At 40.4% G+C, this 16,527-nt stretch overlaps 1 protein-coding gene across 2 annotated transcripts in view; it reads right to left on the bottom strand.

Annotated features, from left to right (window-relative positions):
• Positions 1-1,303: 1,303 nt before the first annotated feature.
• Positions 1,304-16,527, bottom strand: part of NOTCH2NLC (notch 2 N-terminal like C) — an 81,213-nt gene continuing 65,989 nt past the window's right edge. For both annotated transcript variants that reach the window (NM_001364012.2, NM_001364013.2), the window contains exons 4-5: positions 9,311-9,646; positions 1,304-9,060 (exon numbers count right to left, since the gene is read on the bottom strand). In NM_001364012.2, the coding sequence (NP_001350941.1) occupies positions 8,984-9,060; positions 9,311-9,646 (413 nt within the window). In that variant the 3' untranslated portion in view covers positions 1,304-8,983. The remainder of the gene's footprint in view (positions 9,061-9,310; positions 9,647-16,527) is intronic.

Raw genomic sequence — 16,527 nt, 5'->3', positions numbered from 1 at the left:
GATCTAGTGAACACAACTGTCCTGAAACTGAAAGAACCTGCTAAATTTCGAGTTTCTGGTTAGGTGGCTAGAATAGGTTTATAAGACTTCCTTACTTACCTATGACTGCTGAAGTTTGAATTCTTAGCAGTATGATTCCTTTTCTTGTAAGCTGAGCAGCTTAGGAAAGATTGGCCATGTTGCTGTGCAAAAAGAGGTAAACTTAATTTATACTCAAAGCATGCTTGAATTTGGAACTAGGGCTTCCACTCTTCCAAAGCTGGACTGTCACTACCTCAGGCATGTGTCCCAAAGGGCTCATGTCTCTGTTGTACTCAAAGTTCAAATGGAGCCCAGCAAGCCAGATCTCCTTTACTTCTAGGTTCCCTCAACAGTTTCTCCTCTGCTTTAGAGACTGCCTTGAAAATATTCTTGTCCTGCTGTTGTGTTTTGGCTTTGGAATGATGTGATGCAGCTCAATGGGTCCTACCCCCAAGTTGATCAGAGTAAGAAACAGCTGGGAAAGTCAGTGCAAATTCAAGTTCATCGTCCTCCTTACAGGGATTCTGATTCAGAGGGCTCAGGTGGGGCCTGGAATGTGTTTGTTAACATGACTCAGATGTGCAGTCAGTTTGGGGACCCGCTGATACCATCGACCTTATAGTTTATGGGATGATTCTGTTTTGCTGATAAAGAAACTGAGGCATAGACAGTCTGTAACTTGCCCAAGTTCCCCTTGCTGTAAGTCCTGGAGCCAGATCTCAGGTGGAGCAGCCTCTTCCCCATCCCCTTCCCACATTTTCCAATTCAGCTGGGTCAATTCTTTCCAAGTACGTGTTTCTCTCCCCTATACCTCATTTCTGAAAAAAGGAGAACTGGAATTTAACTTCTTTCATCTAATACATTTCCTCACAACATGCTGCCAGCATCATATTCTGGCCTCTTACTATTAAAGTGAGATGCCTTTTTTTTTTTTTTTTTTTTTTTTTGAGACAGGGTCTTGTTCTGTCACCCAGGCTGGAGTGCAGTGGTGATTATAGATCACTGCAACCTTGAACTCCTAGGCTCAAGTGATCCTCTTGCCTCAGCTTTCCAAGTAGTTGGAACTCTAGGCACACATCACCATTTCTGGCTAATTTTTTATTTTTCATGGAGACAAGGTCTTGCTATGTTGCTCAGGCTGGTTTTGAACTTCTGGCCTCAAGCGATCCTCCCACCTAGGCCTCCAAAAGTGCTGGGATTACAGGAGTAAACCACTGAGCCTGGCCCTGAAATGCTTTTTTTTTTTTTTTTTTTTTTTTAATGAAAATACAAGGCATGGAGATGTGGAAAGACACCTTGCTTTATTACTGTTATTATTAGTTCCATAGTATAATTCATATATCACAAAAATCACCATTTTTAAGCATATATTTCAGTGTCTTTTACCATATTCCAAAAGTTCTGCAACCATCACCACTACCTAATTCCAGAATATTTTCATAATGCCAAAAAGCATGCCTGTACCTATGGGCAGTCACTCTCCAATTCCCCACTTCTTGCAGTCTCTGACAACCACTAATCTACTTTCTCTATATATAGATGTACTTGTTCTGGGCACTTAATTCAACAAATGGTCCTGGGACAACTAAATATCCACATGTAAAAGAATCAAGTTAGACTCCCTCCTTGCACATAAAAATTAACTCAAAATGGATCAGAGACCTAAAGGTAGGTGGTAAAATTATAAATCACTTAGAAGTAGTAAATCTTTGTAATGTGGGATAAGCAAAGTTTTCACAAATATGACTGAAAGCACAAGCAACAAAAGAAAAAATAAATTGTATTCCATCAAGTTAAAAACATTTGGGCTGAAAAGTATATCATCAAGAATGTGAAAAGACAGTACATAGAATGACAGAAAATATCTGCAAGTCATATTATCTGATAAGAGACTTGTATTTAGGATATATTTTTTTAAAACTATTACAGTTCAATATTAAAAAGATAAACCAATTATAAAGTAGGTAAAGGATCTGAACAGACATTCTCCAAAGAAGATACATAATGACTAATAAGTATATGAAAAGATGTTGAAAATCATCAACCATCAGGGAAATGTAAATCAAAACCACAATGAGATAAACACTTCACATTACAGATGAATATAATAAAAAAGACAGACAATAACAACTGTTGATGAGGATGTGGATAAACTGGAATTCTCATACACTGCTGGTTGGAATGTAAAATAATGTACCCACTTCAGAACAGTCTGACAGTTCCTGAAAAGGTTAAACAGCATTACCATCTGACGCAGCAATTCTGCTCCTAGGTATATATCCAAGAAATATGAAGATAAATGTCTACCAAAAAATTATACAAGAATGTTCATAACAGAATTATTGATAATACTCAAAAAGTAGAAGCAACTCAAATGTCAATCAACTGATGATGGATAAATAAAATGATAAAATGTGGTAAATCCATATGATAAAATATTATTCAGCCATAAAAAGGCACAGAGTACTGATAAATGCTACCACATCAATGAACTTTGAAAACCTCATGCTAAGTGAAAGAAGCTGTCATAAATTACTACATGCTGCATGTTTCCATTTGTATGAAATGTCCAGAAGAGGCAAATAAAGACAGAAAGTAGACTAGTAGTTGCCTAGGGCTGGGAGGGAGTTAGGAGGAATGGAGAGTAATTGATAATGGGTAAAGGGTTTCTTCTGATGTATAAAAATATTCTAGAATTGACTGTGGTGATGGTTACTCCTATCTATTAAAATTACTGAATTGTGTACTTTTTTAAGAAGTAAATTGTATGGTATATAAATTATATCTCAAAGCTATTGTATTAAGGGAAAAAGCACTAAACACAGTGCCTTACACATATTAGCTAATATTATTATTTGTCAGTGGTATTATAGCATTTGTTAGAGATTGTCTGCTCTAATCCTTTTATGTTACAGATGAGGAAGTTGAGAGCCACATGGCTGACTTGACCAAGATTAAACGGCTAGTAAGTAGGAATAAGTACTGAAACAGAAACTTTACCCAATTGCAGTCCATATGTTTTCTGGGATCCCGGAGTTCCCTTTCAACAATGTAAAATACAAACTTAGGTCAAAAGTTCCCATGTCTGAGAAAACTCAAGCCAAATCAGTTCTCCTCCAAAGTTGACAGGATTTATGCTTTAAAAATAGAGATACAGAATTCTCTTTGGAAAGATCTACCAAATTCCTGTAAGAAACAGTCTACCCAAAGTAGGGGAAAGGCTATATGAAAAGTTACAAGGCACTTCTTAAAAATATATCTTAGGTTTTTAGGGAAAGGTAAACAGACAAGTTTCCAGACCCGTGGGTGGAATGGATGTAGCAGATTCACTGAGAGGCTCACAGCGCCGTACTAAAGGGAGTCTACTGCTTAAAGCCAATTCACATCCTTAAAAGGTCAAATGGAGAGAAATTAAACTTGGGAGAAGCATTTTAAGACTGTGCTGTTACAAAACCTCGGGCCACTTAACTGATTAATCATGGCAATGAGGGCAGGGACCAGAAAAGAGTCTTTAGAACCTGTCATCCCCACACAGAAGAGCAACTTTCAGGGAAACACCCTTATCTTTCCATTTTCAGACCCCGGGAGGTGTGAGGGTGGAAAGGCTAGGTAGAGAAGAGAGCAGAAAGGAGATGAGATGACACAACCAGGATTCTCCGAAGCTGGGCTTGAAGTCCTCAAGAAAAACTCCCATGAACAAGGAAGGAAGAGTGAAGAAAAAAACAGGGATACCTGGAACTGGACAAAAGTAAAAAGATAGAAGGATACTTTTTTTCCCCCAGAAGAAGTCTGTCACAAAAGCAAACCTGCAAATATACGATCAGTATAACACCCAAGAAAATGACACATGCGGCCAGGCATGGTGGCTCATGCCTGGAATCCCAGCACTTTGAGAAGCCGAGGCAGGTGGATCACCTGAGATCAGGAGTTCGAGGCCAACCTGACCAACATGGTGAAACCCCATCTTTACTAAAAATACAAAAATTAGCTGAGCATGGTGGCAGGCACCTGTAGTCCCAGCTACTTGGAAGGCTGAGACATGAGAATAGCTTGAACCCGGGAGGTGGAGGTTGCAGTGAGCCGAGATAGCACCATTGCACTCCAGCCTGGGAGAAAGAGCGATGCTCCGTCTCAAAAAAAAAAAAAAAAAAAAAAAAGAAAAGAAAAGAAAATGACACATGCCCCCAAGTGTGAGAATGCAAGAGGGAATCCCTGACCTATCCCTATCCAACCAGTTTTCTTGGCACACACCTTCCATTCTCTGAATGAGCCCAGATTAACTCACTGACCCCTGTGCCACGTATCTCCCACTCCATCACCCGCCCAGGCTCACTGCTTCCACTTGCGTCCCTTCATATCTCCCTACTGACCTCCACTTTTTTCTAACTTTGTCACCAAAGAAGTCACAGAAATAAATAGGAGGATTCAAAAAGAATAATTTCAGTACATTTAAAAAATTGTAGAATATAGGATTCTCATCTATGTTTATCACGTTCATTCATTTTTCAAATTTTCATTGTGGCACCATTTTATGACAGGCACTATGCTGGGGATGCTGGCGACTAGGGTAGGGAGTTAAAATGAGAGTGTCTACTTGGAAAGATGAACAGATAAATAATCACCGTGGTAAGTGCTGTGCTAGAGATATGCAGATGTCAAAAGACCTTAGAAGGTCTACAATCCACTTGGAGGGTAGGGAATATAGAAGGCATTTCAGTGAAATAGGGTGCCTTTGACAAATCATTAAGAATGAGTTCTACATTAAAAAGGGGAAGAGAGGGTGATAGCTGAGGAGGCAGCATAGGCAAGAACATCCAGCATGAAAGAACAGTGAAGGACATCAGGAACATCTTTCAGGAACATCAGGTAAAACAGACTTAGGGCCCAAGTCAAAGGAGCTAAAATAATACACCCTGGAAAGTGGTATGATCATTTCTGCATCTGCTCCAGAGAAACCTGCCAAAATATGATTAGCATAATACCCAAGAGAACATCACATTCCCCATGTGTGAAAATGCAAGAGGGAGTTATTTCTAATAGTTCATAAGCTCAGCAACAACAGAGTAGACACAAAAGCCACAGAATGTGCTTAGGCTTTACTTTAATGATATAGGGATATCACATATCATCAGCCTGTGGAGTACAGAGGTAGTTTACAAAGGATAAACCTTCATTGTTTGGAAAGGAAAGATCAGAGAGCTCTTTATGAAGTTTAAACAAAATCAGAGAAATAAAGAGATGTGGGAAAGAAAGAAAAAAAAGAAAGTACATTGAGGACAGTCCAATCTAACTGTGAACTCATAAGGGACAGCCAGTAAATTCAAAACAGCCTACTGTTTTTTGATTACTTGTGCTACTCTATTAAAATAGCCACAAACACAAAACTAGTCTACCTCTTTCTCTCCCCATTATTGGCCCTAACCCAAAAATAGTGGGAGTAAATGATTTAATAATTTATTTTCATGCTCCATTTTGTTCTTAAGTTAAAATTACTGTGGTTGGTGCCCCTCCTTTAGCTTCTGCTAAAGACTTTACATAATGAAAGCTCATGAAGTGTCTGGATTACTAACAGTTACTTATCCAAAAAGATGAGACATGGTTCATTGATTTGATTCTATTAGTTCTCTCTTGAAGATATTTTTCTCCTCCCTCTGTGAAGAAACATTTCTTTCTGTGTCATACAAGACGCGTCATTTTTGTAGTTTTAATTCCCTCTTGAGTCCTACAGTAATACTAAAATACTCACAGTGACTACAGTATCCTTTGCAGGGAAAAAATTGTAAATTAACCATTTAAATATAGTCACTAAGTTATGTGGCATTCACTGACTCAGAGTTGAAAAAGACTCCAAAATTCTTATCCAGTATTAGAGTATACAAGGACAAAAGGAGAGGCCAAACTAAGTCTAGGACGCACAATACAAAGAAGAAAATGAGAAGACCAAAGTTACAGTCTCAATACTATGACATGATACTAAACCATACAGTCAGTCAGCCAATATATATTTGCGGGCCTAGTATATACTGGGCACTGTTTGTAGGTGTTTGGGTTACATCAGTAAACAAAAACAAAGATACTAGTTTTCATTCTGGAGAGGGTAAGAGGCAGTAGAATTTGGAAAAGACAGACAATAAACAATAGACATAATGAAGTAAATTATATAGTATAAATTATATAGTAAGAAGATAAGAGTTACAGAAAAAGAAAACAAAAAGTAGACCAGGGTTAGTAATTAAGGGGGTGGGGGACAGTTACAATTTTAAATAGGGTGGTTAGAGTAACCCTCAATTAGAAGTGCCAAGACGTGAAATGCAGTGGAAGCAACCATTTGAAAGTTGCAGAATACTTTAACAAGCTACTTTGCCTCCTGCTGACTTTGTTTCCCCATTTTTAGAACTGAAATAATAATTCTCATCAAATAAGGGTGCTATTTACATTGAGATAGTGACTATTACTATAAGTAACATTTTAGTCTCTTGACAAGCATGGGAAGCAATGGAATGAAGGGCAATGGAAGGAAGGGCACTGCATTATGAAAAGGACTTTTTAAAAGAAAACCATCTCTAGGCACTATTTCCCTTTGTGGAAATGAACTGAATATTTTCTGAACTCCACCTGGGACATACGAACAATGAGCATGAAATCTTACAAACTGTATAAATAACATTTATTCACAGTGTCACTGCATCATCTATTGTTTTGAATTCTCTTTAAATTTCCTTCTATATATTTATCCAAAGCTGAAGTCATCTGGTTTAGATTATGGGACCCTGAAAAGCAAGAACTAGTCTATGTAACTACTTTTAAACATCTGCACAATGCGATATATATATATATACCACACACACACACACACACACACACACACATATTGATATGTAACAAGTACTATTTGATTATAATTAGGAGTGTCTTGGTTTTCTTATAACATGAACATATATTTTTAACCCAAACAGCTTAAAGCATTTAACGAAAAGTTTTACACACCTACAAAGTGCTTTCAGGAAGCAGATGTGCAGTGCAATGTGGCGCAGTAAGATGCACAAAGCAAAGGCTTTGAAAATAAACTGCCTCGGTTTCAGGACCCAGCCTAACCACATATTAGCTGTACAACTTTGGGTGAATCACTTAACATCTCCAAACTTCAGTTACTTCATGTGGGAAGACTTGAAAAATAATACCTGGTCCCAAGATTTTTGTGTAATTGAGCTAATAAGCATGGAAGTACCTGGCACAGTTCCTGAGTCACCAAAAAAATGTTAGTTTTCTCTTCATCAAATCTCCCCATTCCCACCCCTCATGCTAATCTCCCCTCCCACACACACACACACCATCAGTGAGTAAATAAGTGTCTTGCGTTAAACTACAACCAGAGAATAAGAGACAGCCAAGATTTCCTTACTCTATTTCACTAGCCCTGGCAGCCTCTCAGCTGCGGAATCCTTGGTTATTTCCTTTCTCAAGGAGGAGATACTATTCTAGTTTGACAGATCCTTTCCTGGACACACTCTCAGAATTCCCTAAGGTTCTTATCGTGGCTAATGGATAACAATGCAGAGGCTATGGGAGTGAATAATCACTCTCTCTCAGCTAAAAACTTCCTTTATTGACTTCTCTAACTTCCCGTCAACATCTTGCTGCCAAATCAACCTCTTGTTCTAGGCAATTATTAAAAGCAATTTTCTTGAAACTGAAAAACACATTTAGCCTTCAACAATAAATCACACTAACATCAATTACTAGCCAATTAGATTACTAGAATATCAGACCCAGAGATATTTGCAGTGTTGAAATATTTTCAAAATAAAGTTGTTTACATTTCTATTTCTGTCTTTAATCCTTAAAATGCAAACAAATACAGGAGTGAAGACAGATGTATTTTAGTTATTTCTTCTACAAGATAAAGTGGATAGTAATATTATGTTAAGAAAATACTTATTTAGTATCTAGAATGATAGCATTATCTATTCTTTATTAAAAGAGAAACTAAAAGTAATATAATTAAATAGCTTGTTCTTGTGACTTAAATAATATAAAATTTTCATTTCAATTATGTGACAATGCTTTGTATAGCTGTATTCCAAATACACAGCATGGTGCCTAGAACATAGCAGGCAGTCAATACATTTTTACCAAATGAAATGAACAAATTACCAGTTGATTTTATACTGAGGACCAAACTATGACCTTTAATTCCTCCAAAATAAAACACACAATCCCATTATATGTGAACCATATCCACAATACCAGAATCTAAGATTCCCACTCTGAAAGAGTAACTAGAACAACTTCTTTTGGAGGCAATTCTGCTTACTTAGCACATTACTCCCCCCTACAGTTTTCCTTCTTTTGTTTTTGTACTAAGGATATTTGTATAAAAACAGGATCTTTGTTGCTTAGTAATTCATCTGCTTCAGCTGCTTGTATTCTGTTCCCAATCAAAATTCTTGGTTTTCAGCCTCCTCATCATTTTTATAAGGAGTTGAATGAATTGGCCAAGCTTGTTCCTTTCTCCCTCTCCATGGAACACCAGGCCCCAAGCTCCCCGACACTGCTCCTCTTTTTATTTCTATCTTTGGGTTGTGTGTGCACTCTAGAACACTTGTATCAGTGAAGAGTGTAACAAAGTATTGTGCCACGCATAGTCTCTCATATATCATCTATCAGCTCATCAAAAAGTGCTCACTGATTAACAGAGGATCCCCTCCTCAGTTTCAGAATTCTCTAGCTTTAAGTTAGGGGAGGGTTACCCCAAAGTCAGAGAGGGTACATGGGAGAGGGTTGTGAAGGCCAGTAGCCCAGAGAAAATCAAGGGCAGCTGGGTGCATTTAGGTGGATAAGAAAACAATGAATTACTCCATCAAAAGCAAAAGCACAAGCACATAGTAAAGTTGATCACCTACTGTTAATGTCAATTCAGTTTAAAGCACTTTATTAACCACACATACATATTTTCCAGTGTCTAATTCTCATCGTGTTCTTTTCCATTCCAGACTTCCCTGTCTCTTTCCCAGAGCTCTGTTCCTCTTCTCACTGTTTCTACAAAAGGGACAATAAACAATTTTCTAGCCACTCATCATCATAAACCCTGACATGCTAAATTATCCCCTGCTCAGTTTATGGACCACAGTGGGCCCATAAAACTCCTCCCTCACTAGCAACCCACCCCACACAAAATTCTCACTTCCCTTTTTCCTTGCGCTTCCTAAAAAAAGCAATTGAGCCACACCCACTACCTCCTGTGCTAGGGGTTTGTCCCCTAATCCTGGGACACTAGGGAGCTCCTTACCTGGAAGGCAGTTGCACTCAAAAGTGAAGTCACCAGTCTGCCGACAGGTGCCTCCATTGACACAAGGCGAGGGTGCACAGGGCACATACAGGCTGTCACAGTACTGGCCTGTGAAGCCCTGAAGGCACTGGCACTGGTAGGAACCAGGCAGGTTGAGGCAGGTGCCACCATGCTGGCAGTGTCCTGGAATGTCACACTCATTGACATCAGTCTCACACTTCTGCCCTGTGAAGCCTGTGAGGCATTTGCAGGAGAACTGGTTGGCCACAGTGGTACAGGTACTTCCATTTGCACAGGGATGAGACAGGCAGGCATCGGTCCATTGGCACTCCTTACCTAAAGGAAGGATAACAAAACTCAGTACTGGCCACAGAAATAGGAGATGGCCCCATCCTCAATACCTCATTGACATCAGCGAGCTCTTGCGTGGAGAAGACCTCAACTCTTTGCATTTTACTAAAGGCTAAATCAGAGCCTCCTCAAGGTCATCTGACACAGAGCCCTCTCCAGTAACTCTCCAAGGACCTCAGCAGAGACACAAGGACTCAGTGGGTGGAGCACCTGGAGGCAATTGTAGGTTAGTCACATTGAAGCCCAATCCTGCAGGACGCTATCAGCAATAGGAGTCTGGATCCATCTACTCTCTCAGAGCTGTCTTTGCATATGCTGCTCCTGTTTGAATATCAACTTCCGGGCCAGGAGCAGTGGCTCACACCTGTAATTCCAGCACTTTGGGAGGCCGAGGCAGGCAGATCATGAGGTAAGGAGTTCAAGACCAGCCCGGCCAATATGGTGAAACCCTGTCTCTACTAAAAATACAAAAATTAGCTGGGCATGGTGGCGCGCACCTGTAATCCCAGCTACTTGGAAGGCTGAGGCAGAAGAATCACTTGAACCCAGGAGGCGGAGGTTGCAGTGAGCCGAGATTGTACCACTGCACTCCAGCCTGGGCAACACAGCAAGACTCCATTTCAAAAAAAAAAAAAAAAAAAATCAACTTCCCGTCTGTTTTCCTAGTGAACTCTCCCTATCTTGGCAACTCTAAAGTTCCAACCTCTGTAAAGTCATCCTTAGTGCCCCTCACATACATACATGTGCGCAAACACAGATACACCAAGTTTGCTATTTTCTTCTATTATACCACCTGCCACACTGGCAGGGTTGGGTCTCCATGGTATGCTCTCAAATCATGTCTGTTGAATGGATAAAATATATCGATATTTTCCACAAAATATAGTTACTAAATAGACCTCTGGTGATAGAAACAAGTCAATACTACTTCTGTTTCCTCTAAATGTAACACACACATATATTCTGGGAAACATTTTATTAATTGTGGCCTTGCTATAAATATCTGTTGATGTGTTTGAAAATGATGAAGGACCTCTGGGTCCCTATATAACAAATGAAATAGAAGCCATCAGGAGGACAGAGGTCTCGAAGGTATTCCGTGGACTTTCTCAAGTAGGAAAGTACCAGCACTAGCAGGAAGACTCTGACGGGTTGAAAACTAAATCATGATGCCAGGGGAAGCAAAGCAGATTCTTTGAGGCAGAAAGAGAAAGAGAAAAAAATATCCTCACAGAACTAGTAAATTTGGTATTCACATGGCTGGCTTTTTGTTGTCATTAGTCTAAGTCGCTTATTATTTAAACTACAGAGATGAGAACTCCTTGAATTATTATTATTATTATTATTATACTTTAAGTTCTAGGGTACACGTGCACAACATGCAGGTTTGTTACATATGTATATATGTGCCATGTTGGTGTGCTGCACCCATTAACTCGTCATTTACATTAGGTACATCTCCTAATGCTATCCCTCCCCCGTCCCACCACCCCACGACAGGCCCCGGTTTGTGATGTTCCCCTTCCTGTGTCCAAGTGTTCTCATTGTTCAATTCCCACCTATGAGTGAGAACATGCGGTGTTTGGTTTTTTGTCCTTGCAATAGTTTGCTGAGAATGATGGTTTCCAGCTTCATCCATGTCCCTACAAAGGACATGAACTCATCCTTTTTTATGGCTGAATAGTATTCCATGGTGTATATGTGCCACATTTTCTTAATCCAGTCTATCACTGATGGACATTTGGGTTGGTTCCAAGTCTTTGCTATTGTGAATAGTGCCGCAAGAAACATACGTGTGCATGTGTCTTTATAGCAGCACGATTTATAATTCTTTGGGTATATACCCAGTAATGGGATGGCGAGAACTCCTTGAATTTGTTAATACTCCAGTTGACTGTCTAGGAAAGTATCTAAATCTCTGACCTCATAGAAAGGTAAATGGGAGACACAAGAGTTTTTCTATAAGGGAAAAAGATGCGAGATGTGACATATGAGCACAGAAAAGTGCTCTCTGCCTATCAAGGAATGTCAAATCAAAGGAGAAAACTATAACACAAATTTAGGCACAGCATATACATCTCAGGGAGCTAAGACAGAAAATGAAGGAACTGCAATTCTTCTTGTCTTTCCACTCATGTCACTAAGAGGCACTTATTTACAGTGGAGAAGAGATATAAATGCTCACTTCTAGCAAGTGTGATTTTCAGAGTGATGCCCACAACTGAAACGGAAAGATCCCTGGGCCGGAAGTGGTGGCTGATGCCTGTAATCCCAGCACTTTGGGAGGCTGAGGTGGGCAGATCACTTGTGGTTAGGAGTTTGAGACCAGCCTGGCCAACATGGTGAAACGCCATCTTTTCTAAAACTACAAAAATTTGCCGGGCTTCATAGCACATACCTGTAATCCCAGCTACCTGGGAGGCTGAGGCACAAGAATCACTCGAACCCAAGAGGTGGAGGTTGCAGTGAGCCGAGACTGCGCCACTGTACTAAGCAACAGAGTGAGAAGAAAGAAAGACAGAAAGAGAGAGGGAAAGAGAGAGAAAGAGAGAAAGAGAGAGAAAGAAAGAAAGAAAGAAAGAAAGAAAGAAAGAAAGAAAGAAAGAAAGAAAGAAAGAAAGGGAGAAAGAAAGAAAGAATCAACCCTGAATTTGGTTTCCATATACATTATGTATAGGCACTAACTTGCTGCCTATGCTTCTTCATCTCTGAGTGGAGATGAGCTAGTAAGCTGACTGAGGTATAGCGCTATCACAAAAACCAAAAGGATGACCTTGATCTGTGATGATTCCTAAAGTGATAGACAAAAATAGCATATGTATAAAAGATGATCAGAATCGGCCGGGTGTGGTGGCTCACACCTGTAATCCCAGCACTTTGGGAGGCCAAGGCGGGTGGATCATGAGGTCAGGCGATCCAGACCATTCTGGCTAACAAGGTGAAAGCCCATCTCTACTAAAAATACAAAAATTAGCCGGGCATGGCGGTAGGTGCCTGTAGTCCCAGCTACTCAGGAGGCTGAGGCAGAAGAATGGCGTGAACCCGGGAGGTGGAGCTTGCAGTGAACCGAGATTGCGCCCTGCACTCCAGCCTGGATGACAAAGCAATACTCCATCTCAAAAAAAAAAAAAAAAAAAAAAAAGGTGATCAGAATCTTGCAGAACACACCAAAAAGAGATCCTTCTTAATTTGGGACCATTTCAGAGTGACATTTTAATTATGAAGAAGGCATTACTGTCATTTCCACTAGCCAGAATTAAAATATTTTAAGTGGGTATATGCCCCCCTACTTTGCCTCCTAATAGCAAAACAACTCAAAACTGACAATCAGGAAGAAATTATTCTTATAACACCAAATATTTTCAGTGACTTACATCATCAATACCATCATCATCATGATGGAGATCATGGATCATCCTAACTACCCTCTACCCCACCAACACCTTTTGATGAATGATATGGTTTGGTAGTGTCCCCACCCAAATCTCAACTTGAATTGTATCTCCCAGAATTCCCATGTGTTGTGGGAGGGACCCAGTGGGGTAACTGTATCATGGGGGCCAGTCTTTCCTGTGCTATTCTCATGATAGTGAATAAGTCTCATGAGATCTGATGGGTTTCTCAGGGGTTCTGCTTTTGCTTCTTCCTAATTTTCTCTTGCCACCACCATGAAAGAAGTGCCTTTTGCCTCCCACCATAATTCTGAGGCCTCCCCAGCCATATGGAACTGTAAGTCCAATTAAACCTCTTTTCTTCCCGGTCTCGGGGATATCTTTATCAGCAGCGTGAAAATGGACTAATACAGTAAATTGGTACCAAGAGTGGGGTTTTTGCGAGAGTGCCAGCTATCCCGAGGGAAACTTTGGAGGGAACCAGCTACTAGATGGTTCAATTAGTCTTTCGCCCCTACACCCAGGTTGGATGACCGATTTGCACATCAGGACTGCTACGGACCTCCACCAGAGTTTCCTCTGGCTTTGCCCTGCCCAGGCAGAGTTCACCACCTTTCAGGTCCTAACATTTGTGCTCATGCCCCACCTTCCCAGTGCAGAAAACAAGATGGGCCGGTGGAAAGCTGACCTGGCTACTGCCACCGCAGAGTGCCCAATTTGCCAGCAGCAGAAACCAACACTGCGCCTTTGATATGGCACTATTCCTCAGGGTGATCAGCCAGCTACTTGGTGGCAGGTTGATTATGTTGGACTTCTTCCATTGTGAAAAGGGCAGATGTTTGTCTTTACTGGAATAAACACTTACTCTGGATATGGGTTTGCCTATCCTGCATGCAATGGTTCTGCCAAGACTACCATCCGCGGACTCATGGAATGCCTTATCCACTGTCATGGTATTCCACACAGCATTGCCTCTGACCAAGGCATTCACTTTATGGCTAAAGAAGTGCAGCAGTGGGCTCATGCTCATGGAATTCACTGGTCTTACCATGTTCCCCAACATCCTGAAGCAGAACGGTGGAATGGCCTTTTGCAGTCACAATTACAATGCCAACTAGGTGAGAATACTTTGCAGGGTTGGGGCAAAGTTCTCAAGAAGGCTGTGTATGCTCTGAATCAGCGTCCAATATGTGGTACTGTTTCTCCCATAGCCAGGATTCACAGGTCCAGGAATCAAGGGGTGGAAATGGAAGTGGTACCACTCACCATCACCCCTAGTGATCCACTAGCAAAATGTTTGCTTCCTGTTCCCGCAACATTAAGTTCTGCTGGCCTAGAGGTCTTAGTTCCAGAGGGAGGAACGCTGCCACCAGAAGACACAACAACAATTCCATTAAACTGGTAGTTAAGATTGCCACCAGGACACTTTGGGTTCCTACCTTTAAGTAAACAGGCTAAGAAAGGCGTTACAGTGTTGGCTGGGACATCAAGGCTATCAAGACCCAGGCTATCAAGATGAAATCAGTCTACTACTCCAGAACGGAGGTAAGAAAGAGTATTCATGGAATACAGGAGATCCATTAGGGCGTCTCTTAGTATTACCATGCCCTGTGATTAAGGTCAATGGGCAACTACAACAGCCCAATCCAGGCGGGACTACAAATGGTCCCGCCTGGATGAATGAAGGTTTGGGCCTCTCCATCAGGAAAAAAAAAAACACAACCTGCTGAGGTGTTTGCTGAAGGCAAAAGGAATACAAAATGGGTAGAAGAAGGTAGTCATCAATACCAGCTACTACCATGTGACCAGCTGCAGAAATGAGGACTGTAATTGTCCTCAGTATTTCCTCCTTCTTTTATTAAAAACATGTCTGTGCTTGCACACACTTGTACTAAGAAAATATCTTCATTTTATTTCCTTTCTCCTTTATCATGTGACATAAGATTTATTGACTTCACATCAGCATTTAAGTATCGTTAACTTTATGTAAGAGTGTTTCAGTTGGGGACTGGTGTGTTTCCGGATGTACGAAGAATAGTTGTACTACATCAGGTGTAATTATGACCTAATTATTGTCTTTATTTGAAGATTATGTGTGATCTCAGGAGATGTGTATGGGTTCAAGTTGACAAGGGGTAGATTTGTGGTGGTTAAAACTGAGTGTGTCAACTTGATTGAATTGAAGGATACAAAGTATTGATCTTGGGTGTGTCTGTGAAGGTGTTGCCAAAGGAGATTAACATTTGAGTCAGTGGGCTGGGGAAGGCAGACCCACCCTTAATCTGGATGGACACCATTTGATCATCTGTCAGCAAATATAAAGCAGGCAGAAAAACATGAAAAAGCGAGACTGGCCTAGCCTCCCAGCCTACATCTTTTTCCCGTGCTGGATGTTTCCTGCCCTCAAATATCGAACCCCAAGTTCTTCGGTTTTGGAACTCAAGACTGGCTCTCCTTGCTCCTCAGCCTGCAGACAGCCTATTGTGGGACCTCGTGATCATGTGAATTAATACTTAACAAACTCTCCTTTATATATATATAAAGATTGCCAATATATATATATTAAGATTGCCACCAAGACACTTTGGGTTGGAATATATATACATACATATATATTCCATTAGTTCCATCCCTCTAGAGAACCCTAATACAATGAAAAATTAATATAACAGTATTCTACACTAACTGATCCAGTATAGTCTTCTGAGTACATTTTTCACTTTTTTGCTTATTGCATTTATAGAACTCTTGGTTTAGTGCTTAAAGCAGGAGAAAAAATGAAGAATGTTCCTCCTTTTCTCATCTAATTTAATAAACACTTTTGAATAAAGCTCAGACCCACCTAGAAAAACCCACAATCTATTCAGGTGAGATATGTGTAAAAAAAATTACAATAAAATGTGATACATAAAACTAATAAAACTTAGAGACCATTTGCCTAAAGGAATCATGAAAGGGTCACTAAGACACAGTTTTAAATAACATTGGACAATCACCAGTTGTAGAAAAGGGCATTCCAGGCAAAAGGGTGTGTAACTGTATGGAAGCAATAATAAGTACAACATTTTCAGGAAATAAGGAGAATTTGGTGTGACTAGGCCTAGATGCTTGTGGGGAGGCCAGGCTATAAAAAGATGTAAAGTCTAGGCTGTAGAGAGCTATGGAAGTCATGTAAAAGAGTTTGCAGTTTATTCTGCGGATGATGAAAAAATATTAGACATTGTAAGCAGGTGAGATTGTTAGAATATTTGCATTTATAATCAAAGATGTAGTAATATCATGGGTGAATGAGATGGGGAGAGAATAAAGGCAAGAAAACGTATTCAGAAACTACTTCAGAAGCCCAGGTGAGAGATAACATGGCCTTCAGCTACAGGGTAGCAGAGGAAATGGGAGGAATAGACAGGTGAAAGGCAACTCAGAGGTTGGCTTGGGTGACTGAGTTGAAATGAGGTCAGAACAAGGGACAGGGAG

This window comes from Homo sapiens, chromosome 1 (genome assembly GCF_000001405.40).
Source record: "Homo sapiens chromosome 1, GRCh38.p14 Primary Assembly".
In the NCBI taxonomy this organism is placed as follows: domain Eukaryota; kingdom Metazoa; phylum Chordata; class Mammalia; order Primates; family Hominidae; genus Homo; species Homo sapiens.
Note: the sequence above shows the minus strand (reverse complement) of the source record. Positions and strands in the feature narration are given on the sequence as shown.